The 20,492-nt window shown below is 47.3% G+C and overlaps 1 pseudogene across 1 annotated transcript in view; it reads left to right on the forward strand.

The window, feature by feature from the left end:
* CD99P1 (CD99 molecule pseudogene 1) overlaps window positions 1–8,267 on the forward strand; it is a 47,965-nt pseudogene extending 39,698 nt beyond the window's left edge. The window contains exon 9 of the transcript NR_033380.1: window positions 6,065–8,267. The product of NR_033380.1 is annotated as a CD99 molecule pseudogene 1, transcript variant 1 (transcript). The remainder of the gene's footprint in view (window positions 1–6,064) is intronic.
* Window positions 8,268–20,492: the final 12,225 nt, after the last annotated feature.

The raw sequence follows: 20,492 nt of genomic DNA on the forward strand, positions 1-20,492 counted from the left end.
AACCTTATAGTAAGAATGATCGCTGTCATTCTACAAGTCAGAAACTTGAAGATCAGATTGGTGACATGTTCAGCTAATGCACTGCTAATAAACAGCAGAAGTGAAATTCAAATATCAAGACATTTGTCCTCAAAGTCTATGCTTGTAACTAGATTATGGCCCTGATATCCTAGGGGTGAATCAGTTTCAGTTTCCCTTCCTGGACCCCCAGCAAGTAGTACATGGGAATTATTCTAGTCCGGTATAGCGGGGAGCAGTGTAAACAGATAAACAAGGTTTTCCGGGGCCCTGGTTTAGGCAAATAAATCTTACAACTTATCTGGCTCTTTCAAGTCGACTTCAGACTTCGCCTTGCTTTCTAGACTGTTTTGCCTAATGGAAAATAGTGTTTGTATCTTTAGAAAATGTAATACGTGATTTTCCCCTCTCAATATTTTGCAGGTCAGAGATATTGCTTTGATCTATTTTCACATAATAATTATTATTTGAGGTCTCAAGACCAGCATCTTCATCTGTGTGGGGCTCTGAGTTAAGGGCTTTCCAGAGACTCACTCCTGCCGTTTCTTCTAACTCCCTTGAGCAGAGGCCAGCAGTAGAGAAACTTGATAAATAACACAAGTGCTATAATCCCTGAGTCCTCTAAGAAATGAGACACAAAGGAAAGATCCAGGGACATTTTCACAGATGTGCCCAATTCCAGTGGCCCCAGGTTTCCCACCCTGCTGTTGATATTCTGCCACCCATAGTCGTGATCATCTGGCTACAAAACAGCAGGCAAGGCTGTGCATGAGTGATGTTACAGGTGGGCTCATGGCTACATGGATGTCTAGACATGTCTAGGTGTCCATATGCAGGACCTGAGGGAAAGTGAGAAGGAGGGAGGGATGGGTGAATAGATGGATAGATAAATGGATGGAAAGGTGGACGAATGGATAGATGCATGAATGGATGGTGAATTGGTGGGTAAAATGGAGGGATGGATGGGTGTTTGGATGGATATTTGGATGGATGGATGGATGGATGGATGGATGGATGGATGGATGAGTGAATGGCTGAGTGGATGGGTAGACAGGTGGATGGATGGAGAGATGGATAAGTGTTTGATGGATGAATAGACACATACATGGATGGACAGGTGTTTGGGTGGATGTGTAGGTGGAAAGGTGGATAGATAGATAGATGGGTGGATGGATAGAGGGACTGATGGATCACTGAATACATGTGTCAATGAATGGGGGATGTATCATTGGAGGGATGGGTGAGTGGTATGGTGGATGAGTAGATGAATGAGTGGGTGGATAGATGGATGGATGGATGGATGGATGGTTGGATGGATGGTAAGGTGGATGAGTAGATGGGTGGATGGGTGGATGGATGGATGGATAGATGGATAGGTAGATAAGTAGATGATTGGATGGATGGATGCATGAGTAAACAGGTTCATGGATGGGTGGATGAGTGGATAGATGGATGGGTGGATGTGGGTGGCTGGATAGATATGTAGATAGATGCAAAGGTGAATGCAAAGAGAAGGATAGATTTATGAGGATGCAAGTGAGAATTTTTCTCCTTAGGTCATCAGGGGAAAATTAAATCCTTACCCACGGAGACATCTTTCATTTGAGTCAGGCAGAGGCCCTCTTTTTCTCTCTCCTGGTGACCAGGACAAAGAGAAATGCAGGTGTAGAGAGCTCTGATCAGGGAGCCCTGCCTGCCTCCTGTCCTGGGTGACCTTTACCAAATCCTCTCCTGCGTTGGGTCTCCCTAACCTTGATTTTCAAATGGTGGCTTCAGGGCTTTGCCTTTTCTGTGTCTGTGGTTCTCTGTCATCTATCAAGTCTCCCAGGGAGCCCCTTCTTGCCTCCCCTCTGTCCCTTTGGCCCCCACTCCAGACCCCAGACTGGGTTCAGGGTTCCTCTCTAGAAGTCACTGATGGGAGCCCACACCCTGAAAATGCCTTTAGTCTTCATTCCAGCCTCTCCTCTCTGCCAAGTGAGCTGCCCTTGCTGGCAGCAGTCACTTCCTCACACAGGGGGATGCTTGTTCCAGCACACTGAGTAAGTGCTGTCTCCTGAGTGGGAATTGGCTTGGCACAGGCGACCGTATGACTGTTTCAAAAAGTCATTCAAATTCTTTGTCTTGTACATCCTGTCTGGAAGCACGTATATACATTCCCGCCTCCCCACTGGGCACGCTCTTACCCTTGCGCTGCCATTCTGGTGCTAGGAGCTGTTTGTGCTGTCCACTGGGTGGACAGAGACGTCTTCCCCATGAAAAGAGGAATCAGGGTTTTCATGTATCTCTTAGAAGCCGGGCATTTGGCACCGGGGCTCATGAACAGCTGATTTTTGAAGTGGTCCCAGGGAAAGCTCAGTTGGTGACTGATAAGAAGAAGGTCTGGGCTGGGTGCAGGTCTCACGCCTGTAATCCCAGTACTTTTGGAGGCCGAGGCAGGCAGATCAGTCAGGAGATTGAGACCATCCTGGCCAACATGGTGAAACCCCGTCTCTACTAAAAATACAAAAATTAGCTGGCCATGGTGGTGCACGCCTGTAATCCCAGGTACTCGGGAGGCTGAGGCAGGAGATTCGCTTGAATCCCGGAGGTGGAGGTTGCAGTGAGCTGAGATCATGCCACTGCACTCCAGCCTGGGCGACAGAGCAAGACTACGTCTCAAACAAAAAAAAAAAAAAAAAAAAAAAGAAGAAAGGAAGAAGAAGAAGAAGAAGAAGAACATCTGAAGAATTGGGATACTGAGGCATCATCTTCCTTGCCCAGTGGATCTGTGGTTTCATACCCTGGGTCTCCTGAAGCTTTGGGGTTTTTCTCATTTTTTTTTTCTTTGAGATGGAGTCTTTTTTCTTTATAAATTATCCAGTCTTAGTTATTTCTTTATAGCAATGTGAGAACAAACTAATGGTGCTGGTCTCCTCAAGGAAACTCCTGCCACACCCCCTCCCTCATCTTCTTTCTCTCTGTCTTTTTGTTTTGAGGTGGAGTCTAACTCTCTCGCCCAGGCTGGAGTGCAGTGGTGCGATCTTGGCTCACTGCCACCTCCGCCTCCCGGGTTCAGGTCATTCTCCTGCCTCAGCCTCCCGAGTAGCTGGGATTACAGGCGCCCGCCACCATGCCCGGCTAATTTTTGTATTTTTAGTAGAGATGGGGTTTCACCATGTGGGCCAGGCTGGTCTTGAACTCCTGACTTCAAGCGATCCACCTGCCTCAGCCTCCCAAAGTTCTGGGGTGACAGGCGTGAGCCACCGCACCTGGCTGGGGATCCTTTTTCATCTCTGGTGGACAACAAGGTGTATTTTCCTCTTGCTGGTCCAGGGGGCAGCAGAGGGAGAAGGAGACTACAGTGTTTGGGGGTCCGTGTGTGTGTTCTTTTCCCCCCTGGTGCCTGCTGTGGGAGGTCACATAATGCAGATGGATAATGATGGCACAGACATATCCTCGCTGTTGGCCTCTCCCACTTTACTTCATTTGTGATGGATGCACCACCCATTGAGTTGATTATAAAAGGCTGATAAGGCTGGGCACGGTGGCTCACACCTGTAATCCCAGCACTTTGGGAGGCCAAGGCAGGCGGATCACCTGAGGTCGGGAGTTCGAGACCAGCCTGACCAACATGGAGAAACCCCATCTCTACTAAAAATACAAAATTAGCTGGGCGTGGTGGTACATGCCTGTAATCCCAGCTACTCAGGAGGCTGAGACAGGAGAATCGCTTGAACCAGGGAGGCAGAGGTTGCGGTGAGCAGAGATCGTACCATTGCACTCCAGCCTGGGCAACAAGAGGGCAACTCCATCTCAAAAAAATAAATAAATAAAATAAATGAATACATAAATAAAAGGCATAATAAGCAAATTGCTAACTGTGGGGTCTGTGACTATGGACTCTTTCTTGTGTTCAAAATAGCTTTTCTGCAGAGTTAACTGTGCAAACCCAGGACAGCAGATTCTGTTTGTGCCCTTCAAGTGGTTTAGATTTCAGATTACCAAGATAGAAAAATATGTTTGACTACCTGTCCACAGTTCTGTATTTTCAGTTCTTATAATGGGACTACAAATAAGACAACCTGAGCCTTTGTTTCCCATACCCCTGAATGCACAGAACCAGAGTTCTGAACGATGTTTTTGTTTGTTTGCTTTTGAGATGGAGTTTCACTCTTGTCGCCCAGGCTGGGTGCAATGGTGCGATCTTGGCTCATTGCAACCTCCGCCTCCGAGGTTCAAGTGATTCTCCCACCTCAGCCTCCCAAGTAGCTGGGATTACAGGCATGTGACACCACACTCGGGTAATTTTTTGTGTTTTTAGTAGAGACGGGGTTTCACATGTTGGCCAGGGTGGTCTTGAACTCCTGACCTCAGGTGATCCACCCATGCGGCCTCCCAAAGTTGTTGGGATTACAGGCGTGAGCCACTGTGCCAGGCCTGAGCAATGTTTAAATCCTCAAAGCATCACTAGAATTCTGATAACTGTTTTTACAAAGAAGGAAAGGAATCATTATTGGCAAGGATGTGGAAACATTAGAATTCTCCTACTTTGCTGGTGGGAAGTTAAAGTGGTGTAGCCACTATGGAAGGCAGTTTTATGGCTCTTCAGAAAATTAAACACAGAATTACCAAGTGATGTAGCAATCCTACTTCTACCTAATACCTAAAGATACTGAAAACAAATGTGTAAACAGAAATTTGTACACAAATGTATGTAGCAATATCCAAAATGCCAAAAGGTGAAAACAGTCCGATGTCCATCTAATACTAAATGGATAAACCCCATGTGTTCCATCCATACAATGGAATATTATTCAGCCACGAAAAGGAATGAAACAGTCACATGCTACAACATGAATGAACCTTGAAGACGTTATGCTAAGTGCAGAAAGAGAGACACAAAAGGTCACATATTGTAGGAGTCCATTTATATAAAATGTCCAGAATAGTTAAAGCCATCAAGACAGAAATTGAACTCATGGTTGCTTAGGGCTGGGGGCAGGGAAAATGAACAGTGATTACTTGATAGGTACGAAGTTTCCTTTGGCGGTGATGGCAGGGTTCTGGAACTAGATAGCAGTGATGGTGGCATAACACTGTGGATGTAGTCAATGCGCCTGAATTGTTCACTTAAAAATGGTAAAAACGGGCCGGGCGCGGCGGCTCACGCCTGTAATCCCAGCACTTTGGGAGGCCGAGGCAGGCGGATCATGAGGTCAGGAGTTCGAGACCAGTCTGGCCAACATGGTGAAACCCCGTCTCTACTAAAAATACAAAAATTAGTTGGCTCTGGTGGCGCATGCCTGTATTGCTAGCTACTCAGGAGGCTGAGGCAGAAGAATCGCTTGAACCCGGGAGGCGAAGGTTGCAGTGAGCTGAGATTGCGCCACTGCACTCCAGCCTGGGCGACAGAATGAGACTCCGTTTCAAAAAGAAAAAAAAAAAAAAAAAAGATGAAAACAGGCTGGGTGCAGTGGCTCACACCTTTTAATCTCAACTCTTTGCGAGGCCAAGGTGGGAGGATTGCTTGAGCCTAGGAGTTGAAGACCAGAGTGGGCAACACAGATCCAGTCTCTACCAAAAAATTTTAAAAAATCAGCTGGGCACGGTGGCGTGTGCTTGTAGTCCCGTCTCCTCTGGAGGCTGAGGTGGGAGGATCACTTGAGCCCAGGAGGTCAAGGCTGCAGTGAGAGGTGTTTCTGTCACTGCACTGCAGCCTGGGTGACAGAGGGAGACCCCCATCTCTAAAACAAATAAATACATATGTACACAAATGAAAAGGTTAAATGATGAAATTAATGTTATGGGTATTTTTCCACAACAACATGCTTCCCCACAGAAATCTCAGTGGAGAAGACAGGAGTGTGGCAGACCAACATGCTTCTGGAGCTCCACAAAGCTGTCCCTTTAATTGGCAGCACGCCTGGTGAAGGCTGTTTGCTTTGTGGACGTTGACCTCCACCTGCTGGCCCAGTGACTCCTGCTATCTTCATTTTGTCCAGTTCACCTCTCAGTCCCCAGAGCCGTACAACCATCTATAGGTTCTTGCTTCTCCCTTTTCCCCTAGAAGCATCTCCTGGGAATCACCCCTGACCAAAAGCCCCAGGCACCTCTCCAAGACCCCCTACAGAAGCCTAAACAGCCCTTACATTCATTGCCTTTGGACCTACCCGAAGTCAACAAGTTCCAAACTCGTCAGAAACTGGGAGAAGTCTCAGCCCCAAATCAATAGCAGCCGTTGTCAGCTCCTCCCAGCTCAAAGTCCCCCAGAGATCGGTTCCCTGGTCTGAGTCAGGAACGAGAGACTGAAAAGCATGGGGATCTGGTGCTTTTTCTTCATAGGGTTAGTCGCTTTCCCCACCAAAAAACCTACCAACTGAAAGATCACTGATTGGATGGGTCAACCAGCCTCAGCTACCAGATGTCTTTGAGATGGGGAGCCAGCCCCCTAAAGCTGAGTCTCTGTGTGTGGCTTCCAAATACCTGGTCCCCTGGGTGCAGACAGAAGAGAGGACGCAGAGGCTGGACATCTCCCAGAGGAGGGGGAGACTGGCTGGTCACCAGATAATCTTGCTTCCCTCTCTGATGTCATAGGAACATGAACAGACTTGGAGATGCTGATTGAAAGTACATGTCACCTGAAGGAGACATTGGTTCCAGAGCCATTAATTCCTAACCTCCTACCATACTCTCTGCATGGTGGAAGATGCCAGAACATTCTCAGAGCTTGAGAAAAAAGAGGAATTGAGAGAAGGGACGGGGGTCAAGAGATAGAGAAGGTGAGAGGAATGTGAGAGAAGCAGGGGACGGAGGAGAAGAGAGGAAGGATAACTCAGAAGCTCAGGTCTAACTTCACCCCACTCCCCTTAGGACCCCCCCACTCTAACTGTTGTTTCTGAGAGTTCCTGGGGGCCACCCATAAACAATGAGGTTAAATGTAAATGGAAGGGCAGGACTCTGTTGAAGTCTGCAGAAGGTACCCTGTTGGCTGCATAGTCACCAGCTCTCATGACCCAAAGAGGAGAGTGAGCAGGTGACTGGATCATCAGTGAGGGTAAATCTGGAAGACAGAATTGGAGCCAGGTGCAGTGGCTCACAACTGTAACCCCAGCACCTTTGGAGGCCAAGGTAGAAGGAGCACTTGAGCCTCAGGAGTTTGAGACCAGCCTGGGCAACATAGCCAGACCCTGTCTCTACAAATAATTTTTAAAAATTCATTGAAGGATTTCTAAAGACCACTTGAGTGGTTTATGTCTCCTGGAGTCAGAACCCAGGGAGGATTTTTGCTGAAATACCAAAGCCGCAGGGAGCATGAATAGAGATGTTCAGACAGAAATTAAGTTTGAAGAAATAGACTTTGGCAGAGAGGCACGTGGCCACAGACAAGAACTCATCATGCATTCATTCTTTCACTCACTCAGCAAACATTAAATGGACTCTGTCTAACTGCATTTCCCTCTCTTGACAAGAGGGATACATCGGAGAGAGACAGGCTGAAGGAATGTAGAGTTGATATTGGACCTGGGAGCTTTCCAAAGGCACTGTGCTCTCCTGTGCCCTTCTTCGCATCCCAGTCTCTACGATGTTGACCGTGTTCGTGGGTTTCACATTGCTGTTGACATACCAGAAAGAATATGCATGAACCACAGTGACAAATGTCATTCATAATCATTTTCAGCACAGAATAACCTACAGAAATGTCTTCTGTGTACCTTCCCCTGCAATATTTTGTGATTCTGATGCAACTGGAGACAAAACATCTCTTATCCATGGCCTCTCTTGAATCAATTTTATCTCCAATCTGCCTTTTCATGGGTACTCTAACAAGAAAGCAAACAAGGAAAGTTCAGCTGGTCTAGCAGTTCTGAGACAGCAAATTATCTCACTGTTGATGTGGACAAAGAGCCTCTTGCAGAAAGACTATACTTAACTCTGAGAATCTGGGTCCCAGCTTTTTTTTTTTTAATCCAGAGAGACGTAAATCTGAAAGAATCTGAGTCCCAGCCGAGCTGAGAGAGGAGTAAAATCACGGAGGCATGCCTCCACTCAGAACACATCATTATCGTGCTTTTATATGGAAGGCACAGCCATTCACTCATTGTCCGATAGACGTTTCCATTGAACGTTGGATCTCTTCAAACCAAGTGTCTGCAAACATGATGGGTTTTGCACTGATGCTGAGGATGAATCCAACAGGAAAGATACAGAGAAACATCACATTGCACCCCAGAGACATATGCAATTATTGTTTATTGATTAAAAATATAATGAAAATTAGGAGGCTGAGGCAGGTGGATCATGAGGTCAGGAGTTCGAGACCAGCCTGGCCAATATGGTGAAACCCCGTCTCTACTAAAAATACAAAAATTAGCCGGGTGTGGTGGCACGCACCTGTAGTCCCAGCTACTCGGGAGGCTGAGACAGGAGAATCGCTTGAACCCGAGAGGTGGAGGTTGCAGTGGGCCGAGATGGTGCCACAGCACTCCAGTCTGGGTGACAGAGCAAGACTCTGTCTCAATAATAATAATAATGAAAAATAAAAGAGGAACAAGGGAAACCAAAAGTAAGCGTATAGAAGAGCAGTTTAACATGCAATTTCATTTTATTTATTTCTGCTTTAAGTTTATTATTTAAATGGTATCTCAAACGAAGAAGGCTGGCCACTCGTTCCCTCTTCTGTTACCCTATCATTGGAGGTTTTGTTCTTTGCCTTGGTATGTTGAGAGAACCCAGAGGTCTGTGAGTAAAATTCCGGGGTTTTGTCAACTCAGATGGGACAAAGTCTACATCTCTGGGTTCACTCACTTGTAACTGAAATTCAGCATTGCCTGTGGACATAGGCAACATCCCACAACAATGTTAGTCTTGCCTGTAGATTTCTCACCAACCATTATCACAAATACTTTCCTATCCCTGTACAGGAGTTGCAGATGAAATATCCTTTATGCTCATGACCACTTCAGCGTTACTGTGCATCTTGGACCTGCCTCAAATTATTTTAATCTTATGAATATCTAATGCATTACTGTGTTTCCATTGCACAAAATAAAACAATGACTTAGCAGTTGCCCAGGCGAGGGGAACCACTTCCAACAGGTGGGACTAATCATTCAGGGTTTTCGAAAGTTCTCTGTGTAGTTGGATTTTAAGCTCCTGAGTTAATCTGATAGAACTTTCTCATCTGGTTTTAAGAAGTGTGGTTAATGGGGATCTCTTGACTGTAGAATCAGTTTTAAAACACCACATTTACTTCTGACAGTAGGTAAATTTTACCTTGGGCAGAATTGTATGGCCTTGGTGGTAGTTAGTATAAATTAGTATGAATTAACTTGGGCATATGTGAAAATTACTATAGCATAAATTAATGAAGGCCTATGTGAAATTTTGCAATTATTTTCTGTATTCACCTAAAATGGCATTGCACTGGAAATATAGTATGCTTCTTTTGTGATTTCTACATATCTCTGTTTTTTTCTCATATCAGATTCTACTTTACCCCTCAGTGACAGTCATTTTACACCCCTCTCTGTCTCAATGTCCTAGGCACCCTGGGACCATCCTGGCTGGAAGGCATAGTGACATTGCTGGCCTGAGCTGAAGTGCCGATTAAAATAAATTGAAAGCTGAATTACCTTATGAACAGCTGCTTTACCCAGGAACAAATGTGGAGAGGAACTCCTTGAAACTGTGTTCTCAAGTAGACCACTTTTGAGAAATTATACATTTATCATAACATCTCAAGTCCTGCTCTACATAGAATGACCATTATTATCAAGAAAAGTTCTCCATTCCCTGTAATTCATAAGGCAATGCAGGCCTAACCAGAAAACAGGAACTGCGACAACCTTGCATCAGACACATTCGATCTCTCTATTCATAGTTGCATTCTCTTTTTTTTTGTTTACAAAGCCAATCACCAATAACTCGGAAAACAAAAACAAAAAAAAAAAAATGAACACATTGTTGAGCTCGCTTCTGAGAAAGATTCTGCATTGTGAATGTCAGGATTCCACATTTCTGAAGCACCTTTGCTCCTCCAGAAAGCATATCTCTAGTTTCATGGTGATACGAGAGAGAAATGACAATTGTCTGTATTATCAGGATGGCCCATTGTGCTCTGTGGATCTCAATCAATGTGGACATCAGCCATGATCAAGCTCTTTCTTTTCTCTCTCTCTCCTTCCTTCCTTCCCCCTTCCCCTCCCCTCCCCCTTTCCCTTTCCTTTACCTTGTTTCTTGCTTCCCTTCCCCCTCCCCTTCCCTTCCCTCCTCTCTCCTCCTCCCTCCCCCCTTCCCCCTCCCCTTCCCTTCCCCCTCCCCTTCCCTTCCCCCTCCCCTTCCCTTCCCCCTCCCCTTCCTTCCCCTTCCCTTCCCCCTCCCCTTCCCTTCCCCCTCCCCTTCCTTCCCCTTCCCTTCCCCCTCCCCTTCCCTTCCCTCCCCTCTCCCCTTCCCTTCCCTCCCCTCTCCCCTTCCCTTCCCCCTCCCCTTCCTTCCCCTTCCCTTCCCCCTCCCCTTCCCTTCCCTCCTCTCTCCTCCTCCCTCCCCCCTTTCCCCTCCCCTTCCCTTCCCCCTCCCCTTCCCTTCCCCCTCCCCTTCCTTCCCCTTCCCTTCCCCCTCCCCTTCCCTTCCCCCTCCCCTTCCTTCCCCTTCCCTTCCCCCTCCCCTTCCCTTCCCTCCCCTCTCCCCTTCCCTTCCCTCCCCTCTCCCCTTCCCTTCCCTCCCCTCTCCCCTTCCCTTCCCTCCCCTCTCCCCTTCCCTTCCCTCCCCTCTCCCCTTCCCTCCCCTCTCCCCTTCCCTCCCCCCTCCCCTTCCCCCTCCCCTTCCCCCTCCCCTTCCCTCCCATTCCTCCTCTCTCCCCCTCCCCTACCCCCTCCCCTTCCCTCCACTTCTGTCCCCCTTCCCTTTTCTTTTCGCTTCTTTTCTTTTCTTGAGACAGGATCTCACTCTGTTGCCCAGACTGGAGTACAGTGAAGTGATCATGGGTCACTGCAGCTTCGACCTCCTGGGCTCAAGCCGTGCTCTCTCCTCAGCCTCCTGAGTAGCTGGGACTACACACGCACACCACCATGACTGCCTAATTTTTTAAATTTTTATATTTTTTGGAGACAGCGTTTCATGCAGGTTTTCATGCCCAAGCTGGAGTGCAGTGGTACAGTCTCTTGGCTCACTGCAACGTCTGCCTCCTGGGCGAAAGCAGTATTCCTACCTTGGCCTCCCACGTAGCTGCAGCCACAGGCACTAGCCACCACGCTCGGCTATTTTTTTTTATTTTTTAGACACAAGACTTCACCATGTTGTCCAGGCTGGTCTCGAACTCCTGAGCTCAAGTGATACACCCGCCTTAGCCTCCCAAAGTGCTGGGATCACAGGCATGAACCACCATGCCCAGCCTGGTTAATGTTTAAATGTTTCCTGGAGATGGGGCTTCACTATGTAGTGCAGGCTGGTCTTGAACTCCTGGGCTCAAGTGATCCACCTCAGCCTCCTAAAGTGCTGGGATGACAGATATGCACCCCCACACTCAGAGATATTATTTTCTTTTCTTTTTTTTTTTCTTTTTATTTTTTTGAGAGGGGTCTTGCTCTTGTCCCCCAGGCTTGAGTGCAGTGGCTCGTTCTCAGCTCACTGCAACCTCCACCACCCGGGATCAAACAATTCTCCTGCCTCTGCCTCCCAAGTAGCTGGGATTACAGGCACCTGCCACCACGCCTGGCTGATTTTTGTATTTTTTAGTAGAGATGGTGTTTCATTATGTTACCCAGGCTGGTCTCAAACTCCTGACCTCAGGTGATCTGCCCGCCTTGGCCTCCCAAAGTGCTGGGATGACAGGCGTGAGTCACCGCGCCTGGCTGACCATGCTTTCACACAAATGTCCCAGACCCTGGGGACGACAGCTGACCAGAGAGTGATTGAACTATGCAGAGTCCCAGCCTCACCTCCCACATCCCTTCTCTCTCATTTGCCCACCTATTACCCCTACCTTAAAAAAACACCCTGTAGAAATACCCACTAGGGCCAGACGCATTATGTGAGGCTTTTCATTTTTTATTCTTTTTTTTTTTTTTGAGATGGAGTCTCACTGTGTTGCCCAGGCTGGAGCGCAGTGGCATGATCTTGGCTCACTGCAACCTCTGTCCCCCCGGATTCAAGCAATTCTCCTGCCTCAGTCTCCTGAGTAGCTGGGATTACAGGTGTGCACCACCACGCCTGGCTAATTTTTGTATTTCTAGTAGAGACGGGGTTTCGCCATCTTGGCCAGGCTGGTCTCAAACTCCTGACCTCAGGTGATCCACCTGGCTCGGCCTCCCAAAGTGCTGGGATTAACAGGCGTGAGCCTCCGCGCCTGGCCAACCATGTTTCTATACAAGCGTCCCAGACCCTGGAGATGACAGCAGACCAGAGAGTGATTGAACTATGCAGAGTCCCAGTCCCACCTCCCAAATCCCTTCTCCTCTCTCCTTTGCCCACCTACTACCCCCCACCTTAAAAAACACCCTGTATCAATACCCGGTAGGGCCAGAGGCATTATTTGAGGCTCTTCATTATTTTCTGAGACATCAATAGACTACGTGTTGGCAGAATAATTGACTTTGCAATTTACATTGGTGATATAGGAGGGACAGATCCTGCTTCTCGGAAACCTCCATGATTTGCACATGTGCCTGCCTCCTCCTTTGCAGGTGCGGTGTTTGGGAAGGAGCAGTGAGCCACAGGGGGATGGGAGCCCAAGGTGTGGCCCTGCAGGGAGGGTCCAATGGCCCATGAGTGTGGGTGATTCAAGAATGTCAGACTGGCTGGGCACGGTGGCTCACTCCTGTAATCTCAGCACTTTGGGAGGCCAAGGCGGGCAGATTACCTGAGGTCGGGAGTTGGAGACCATCCTGGCCAAGATGGTGAAACCCTGTCTCGACTAAAAATACAAAAATTAGCTAAGTGTAGTAGCAGGTGCCTGTAATCCTAGCTACTTGGGAGGCTGAGGCAGGGAAGTGCTTGAACCCAGGAGGTGGAGGTTGCAGTGAGCCAAGATCATGCTACTGCACTCCAGCCTGGGCAACAGGGTGAGACTCCAACTCAAAAAAAAAAAAAAAAAAAAAAGAGCATCTGTCATTTGCAACAACACGGGTGAATTTGAAGGATATTGTGTTCAGTGAAATAAGCCAGGCACGGAAAGACAAGTACCACATGATCTCATTCCTATGTAAAAGTCTAGAAACCTTGGTCTCACAGAAGCAGAGAGCACAGTGGTGGTTACCAGGGGATGGGCATGGGTGGGGCATGGGAAGATGTTGGTCAGAGTATTACAGGCCACTAGACAGGCATGGGCGGGCAGGAGAGGGCTCTTCCACCCACCAGCAATGCCAGGTGCTGGTTCAGCGATGATCGCATTGCCTCTCTAAAAAATGATAAATTGGCGGCTGGGCACGGTGGCCCACACCTGTCATCCCAGCACTTTGGAAGGCCGAGGCAGGTGGATCACGAGGTCAGGAGTTCAAGACCAGCCTGGCCAAGATGGTGAAACCCCATCTTTACTAAAAATACAAAATTAGCCAGACATGATGGTGCATGCCTGTAATCCCATGCTTGAAACTGGGAGGCGGAGGTTGTTGCAGTGAGCTGAGATCGTGCCACTGCACTCCAGCCTGGGCGATAGAGTGAGACTCAGTGTCAAAAAAAAAAAAAAATTGGCAGCCTGTGGCAGGGAGAGACCATTTCCTGATGTTCCACACCTGTCACACTCAATTGTTCATTGAGTGCAAGTGCCGTGGAAACACAACTTCCTAAGCATGCACATTAGGAGAAAACATGGCGGAATATGACCTTCTGAGGTCACTCCACTGGAAACAGGAAGAAAGCCTCAGATATGGGCACGCTACAACTTCCTAAACCTCATGCTCACCTCCCAAGCATAAGGAGGGCACTGTGCATGCGGGCAGCTCACCCTAGGGGAAGAATCATGGGAAAGGGATACAAGATGCTAGAAGTGGACCAGCCTATAAGGTCCTGTAAAGTTAAACACCACACTTGTTCTTCAGGGCGCCTGCTTGGGTCTCTTTCAAGTGTACTTCCGTTCTTTTCTGTTCTGAAGCTTTTAAAATAAACTTCCACTCGGCTGGGCGCAGTGGCTCATGCCTGTAATCCCAGCACTTTGGGAGGCTGAGGTGGGTGGATCAGAAGGTCAGAAGTTCGAGACCAGCCTAGCCAATACGGTGAAACCCCGTCTCTACTAAAAATACAAAAATTAGCCCTGCATGGTGGCGCACACCTGTAATCCCAGCTACTCAGGAGATTGAGGCAGGAGAATCGCTTGAACCCGGAAGGTGGAGGTTGCAATGAGCCGAGATCGCACTGCTGCACTCCAGCCTGGGTGGCAAGAGCGAGACTCTGTCTCAAAACAAAAACAAAAACAAAAGCCTTCCACTCCTGCTCTGAAACTTGCCCGGGTCTCTCTCTCTGCCTTATGGCCCTCAGTCAAATTCTTTCTTCTGAGGATGCAAGAATTCCAGTGGCTGCAGGCCTGTATGGATTCATCACTGGTAACTCAGATACCTTCCACCACATTATAATAAAAGGGCAGAACATTTCAGTTAGACCTAAGGAATAAGTTCAAGAGATATATTGCACAATGTGGTGATTGTAGTTAATATCAATGTACTGCATACTTGAAAACCACTAAGACAGTAGATTTTAACTGTTTTCACCACATTAAAAAAATAAGTATGGGCTGGGAATGGTGGCTCACGCCTGTAATCCCAGCACTTTGGGAGGGTGAGGGGGGTGGATCACGAGGACAGGAGATTGAAACCATCCTGGCTAACACAGTGGAACCCCACCTCTACTAAAAATACAAAAATTTAGCCAGGCGTGGTGGCAGGCACCTATAGTCCCAGCTACTTGGGAGGCTGAGGCAGGAGAATTGCTTGAACCCAGGAGGCAGAGGTTGCAGTCAGCCGAGATTACACCACTGCACTCCAGCCTGCATGACAGAGCCAGACTCCATCTAAAAAAAAAAAAAAAGTATTTATGGTAATATGTTAATTAGTTTTAGTTACCCATCCCATAATGGATACATATTTCAGTATATGAATGGAATGTTATGTTGTATATCAGAAGCATATCTAATTTTTGTTTGTCAATGACAAAAAGAAAATAGTCCTCATCATTGTGACTGGCTCAGGCTAAACACATACACTATTTTTATTTCTGCAGTTACTCTTCTATTTCTGTGCTACGTCTTAAAATTATCCATTGCAAATGGCATGTAGCTTTGAAAATATAAACTTGCCACCTGATCCAAAACTTTTCAGTTCTGTCATAGTTTTGTGTTTTTTTTTTTTTTTTGAGATGGAGTCTCATTCTGTTGCCCAGGCTGGAGTGCAGTGGCATGATTTCAGCTCACTGCAACCTCCACCTCCTGGGTTCAAGCGATTCTCCTGCCTCAGCCTCCCGGGTAGCTGGGACTACAGGCGCATGCTGCCACGCCCGGCTAATTTTTTGTATTTTAGTAGAGACAGGGTTTCACCGTTGTTGCCCAGGCTGGTCTCGAACTCCTGAGCTCAGGCAATCCGCCTGCCTCAGCCTCCCAAAGTGCTAGGATTACAGGCGTGAGCCACGGTGCCAGCCTCCGTCATAGTTTCTAAAACACCCACACCACAACAGTAATCTTGACTCAACTTCAGCTCCTCATCCTGTGTCTAAGCCAAGTTTAGCCGAAGAAAACATCTGCCGAGAAAGTAAAAACAAAAACATCTGCCAAAGGCAAGAACCCGGTGGGAAGCCCCCTGAGCCCAGTGGCCTGCAGAGTCTGTTCTAGTGACAAAGCAGGCAACTGGAAGAGATCAGGGCTGCGAGACAGCGTGGGTGGGTTTTTATCTGCTGCTTCTGTAAATTCATTGCATGATACGTCTGTTTTTCAGAGGTCCCAAAGCAAAGAAACAAAGCCCCACAGAGTTCACCCAGAGGGAAGGCCTTCACTGGATCAGGCTATAAGAGAAGGACTCTCCCCTGAGAAAGATAAATACTTATTTTGGGGCCGTGTTTAGAGAAAAAGGAAGAACGATGGCTTTCCCATAGAAACATTTACTTATTTTGTGATTTGAAAATGGACTTTTATGTTTTAGGAATTATGTGGATGGGATGTTTTCTTGGGTGATCGATTTGAAATTGCAGAGGGGAGCAGGTGCCATGTGCTGGCAATGGCCGGCCTTCCTTCCTTCCTTCCTTCCTTCCTTCCTTCCTTCCTTCCTTCCTTCCTTCCTCCATTCCTCCTACCCCCCGTTTCTTCCTTCTTTCTCTCTCTTTCTTTCCTTTTCTCTTTTTCTTTCTTTTTCTTTCTTTTCTTTCTTTCTTTCTCTCTCTCTCTTTCTCTCTCTCTCTCTTTCATTTTGTTTGTTTTAATGAGTGAGAGTAAAGAGAAAGAAAAGAACTGTTTTTATTTTTTGTCTACCTTTATTGTAAGGAGAGAGTGAGGATACCATGCCACACATGCAGGGTCCTGAGCAGAGGGCTGCACCCTGCTTAGTTCTAAAGACACCTAGACTTTATCCTGAAAGCCACTGAGAGGCCCATATTTTGAAACACTCAGCCTCTCAGAAGAGGATAGAATGGGTTGCCAGTGTAATAGGGAGAGAAATCGAACATAGCTGACTCCATGTTGCTTCTGACTCCTCAAGCTAACTGCTTTTAGGCACTTCTGCACACGGGCCAAGTTAATCATGGAAAGAACTTAGATTACAGTTTAACTGGAAAGCAAGGATGATAAGCGTTCCTTTCCAAAACTAACCTCTGAGGAGATAAGAAGGGCATGCACACAAGTAACAATGTTATATTGAAGACTTGTAGGAGCGCTGTGACCTGAGCAAGGACAAAGTTTTGCAATCTCCTTGGGCCCCTGCTGATGCCCAAGTGTCTGTGGTCACCAGCCACCCCCCTCACCTCAGTCTCCTCCTTGTTCCCCTTCAGTGTACCCCTTCAATGTACAAAGAAGCTTGAGATTCATGCCTTTAAAGATGGTTCGTTAGGACATGGGTCCAGTATCTTCCTGACTTGCTGGCTCTCCAAATAAAGATGCTTTTCTTGCTCTAACTTTTTGTCTCGTGAATCATTGGCTGTTATGCAGTGAGCCTCAGGAACTTTGGACTCCACAGCACCAGGACAACTCTCAGGACTCCCAGTCTCTATTGGGTGCAGGAATCACTGGGGAGTCTGGCTGAAGTGCAGACTCTGATTGAGGAGGCCTGGGACACGAGGCCTGAGATTCTGCATCTCCAGTAAGCACCAAGGGGATGTTGATGCTGCTGATCCAGGGACCACACCTTGGAGAGCAATGCTGAGAAGCTGGTGGAAGAGCCCAGGCTCATGAAGATCTGAACATGGTCCATAGCAGGGAGGTTGGGGAAATGAGATAAAAATGTTAAAAATGGCAGTTACCTTCCTGGAGAAGAAATGGCTTTTCCATTCCTTATTAGGCTCATGTCTTTGGAACTAGCCCCCACTGGTCTCCTTCCTGTTATATACCTGCAGTTACCATGTTCTTGTTAAGGAAGAATGGCAAATGCAAAAAAAAAAAAAAAAAAAGAGGAAGTTGATCATGTTTGGTTGCTTTTGGTCATCACAATAAATAAATAAAATCTGAAATTTCCCCCTGACTTTGCAAATGTTTTCTTCCAAGGAGAGCAACAGACATGTGTCAGCCTTATTGGATTTCTTTGGTTCCCGAACAGCCTGCCATGAGGTATGAAGGACACATGACCTTTTATGTAATTGGTGAGACCCAATGTCTTCCAGATGTTGGGTGTCTCATCCCAGTGTGAGGATTTTTTTTTATTATTTTTTTGAGATGGAGTCTTGCTCTGTTGCCCTGGCTAGAGTGCAATGGTGCAATGTTGGCTCACTGCAACCTCCACCTCTCAGGTTCAAGCGATTTTCCTGTCTCAGCCTCCCGAGTAGCTGGGATTACAGGTGCGTGCCACTACACCCAGCTAATTTTTTGCATTTTAGTAGAGACGGGATTTCACTGTGTTGCCCAGGCTGGTCTTGAACTCCTGAGCTCAGGAAATCCACGCCCCTCGGCCTCCCAAAGTGCTGGGATTACAGGCATGAGCCACCGCGACTGGCCGAGGATTAAGTTTTTAAAACTTAATTTCCCTTTAGAAAAGAGAATTTAACCTAGATGTTGGTTCTTAATTTATCTTGAGTAAAAGTTGTCTTTGCTAATATGAATTTTTAAAGTCATCAATTGGTTCATACAGTTTTGTGTGATTCACCTCCAAATGTTTTCAGCAGAGGGAGTAACAAGAAAGAAAAGGTAATTTTTTTTTTTTTTTTTTTTTGAGATGGAGTCTCGCTCTGTCGCCCAGGCTGGAGTGCAGTGGTGCAACCTCGTCTCACTGCAACCTCTGCCTCCCAGGTTCAGGCTATTCCCCTGCCTCAGCCTCTCGAGTAGCTGGGACTATAGGCGCCCGCCACCACACCTGGCTAATTTTTTGTATTGTTAGTATAGATGGGATTTCACGGTGTTAGCCAGGATGGTCTCGATCTCCTGACCTCGTGATTCGCCCACCTTGGCCTCACAAAGTGCTGGGATTATAGGCGTGAGCCACCACGCCTGGCCCAGAAAAGGTGATTTTAAAGGCAAAGAAGCGAGATGACTTGAGTAACGGTGTTCCCCATGCATGGTTATTAACAAATGTTTCCTGACTGCTTACCTGTCAAAAACATTGAACAGGTAGAATGTGTGGTCCCAGGAGGTGACAAACTTCCTATTTTAAATGAAATATTTCAAAACAGATTAGACCTCCAAGTCAAAGGGGTGATAAGGAATTTCATGGGAGTTCAATGATCTTTTAAAAAAAAATGATTGTAAGCCTATTAGGAATTAGCATATAAAGTTTGCTATGGTCCGAATGTTGATATCTCCCCAAAATTTCTATTTTGATGTCCTCACCTCCAAGCTGATGGTGTTCGGACATGGGGCCTTTGGGAGGTGATGAGGTCGTGAAGGTGGGGCCTCATGGATGGGATGAGTGCCCTTATAAAAGGGGCCCCAGAGAGCTCCCTCGCCCCTTCCAGCATGTGAGGACACAGCCAGAAGGCGCCATCTAGGAACCAGGAAGTGGGTCCCCACCAGACACTGAATCTGCCACGTCTTTGCCTTGGACCTCCAGCCTCCAGGACTGTGAGCGATAAATTCTCCAGCGTTGTTAGAGGGCTTGCTCCTTGATCACAATAAACTGCATGCTTGTTTTTCCCCTAAATTTCTGTGCCGCAAAGTGATGGTGCTAGGAGGTGGGGTCTTTAGAAGGTGGTGTGATCATGAGGGTGGAACCTCATGAAGGGGATCAGTGCCCTTACAAAAGGGACCCCAGGGGCTGGGCACGGTGGCTCACACCTGTAATCCCCAGCACTTTGGGAGGCCCAGGCCGGTGGTCACCTGAGATCAGGAGTTGGAGACCAGCCTGACCAACATGGCAAAACCCAGTCTCTACTAAAAATAGAAAAATTAGCCGGGCATGGTGGCGGGCACTTGTAATCCCAGCTACTCGGGAGGCTGAAGCAGGAGAATCGCTTGAACCCGGGAGGCAGATGTTGCAGTGAGCTGAGATCGCACCATTGCACTCCAGCCTGGGCGATAAGAGTGAGACTCCGTCTCAAAAAAAATAAAAAAGAACATCGACTCAGACTTGCTTTGCTGGAAAGTATATTAGAATGTGTCTCATCCCCCTTGTATCCATTTCCCAGGGCTGCTGTAGCAAGCCATCACACACCAGGTGGCTTACAACTGGGATTCATTCTGTCGCAGTTTTGGAAGCAGAAGTCTGAAATCAAGGTGTGGGCAGGGTGGGTTCCTTCTGGAGGCTCTAGTGGTGGATCCGTTCCTTACCGCAGCCCCGAGCCTATTCCCATGGCCTCAGGGGCTTCCCATACAGTGCATAGGATGGCCTCACCTCAGAAAGTGATCCAGACCCGAATGTCCACAGTGCTGAGGCTGAGAAACCCTGTCTTAGCTTCAAACGCACACATACACTCTCTCTCTGTTTTGCTCGCTGGCTCTCTTTCTCTCTGTCTCATATATTGATCTAGCTGTCTATCTATTTCTCCGTAGGTATCTACCTATATCCATCTGTCTATCTGTCATCTACTTCTTTTTCTTTTTCGTTAGAGACAAGGTCTTGCCCTTTCGCCCCAGCCAGACTGCCGTGGCGTGATCATAGCTCACTGCAGCATCAAATTCCTGGGCTCAAGCAATCCTCCTACGTCAGCCTCCCAAGTAGTTGTGACTATAGGGGTGCACCACCATTTCCTGCTAGTTTTTAAATTTTTTGTAGAGATGGGGTCTTGCTATGTTGTCCAGGCTAGTTTCAAATTCCTGGGCTCAAGCAATTCATTCGCCTTGGCCTCCCAATATGCTGAGATTACAGGTCTGAGCCATAGCACTTGGCCTCTCATGTATTTGTATCTCTATCTGTCTCTCTCTCTCTTTCTCTCTCTCTCTGTCT

The sequence above is a fragment of the Homo sapiens genome, chromosome Y (genome assembly GCF_000001405.40).
Source record: "Homo sapiens chromosome Y, GRCh38.p14 Primary Assembly".
NCBI classification, from domain to species: Eukaryota; Metazoa; Chordata; class Mammalia; order Primates; family Hominidae; genus Homo; species Homo sapiens.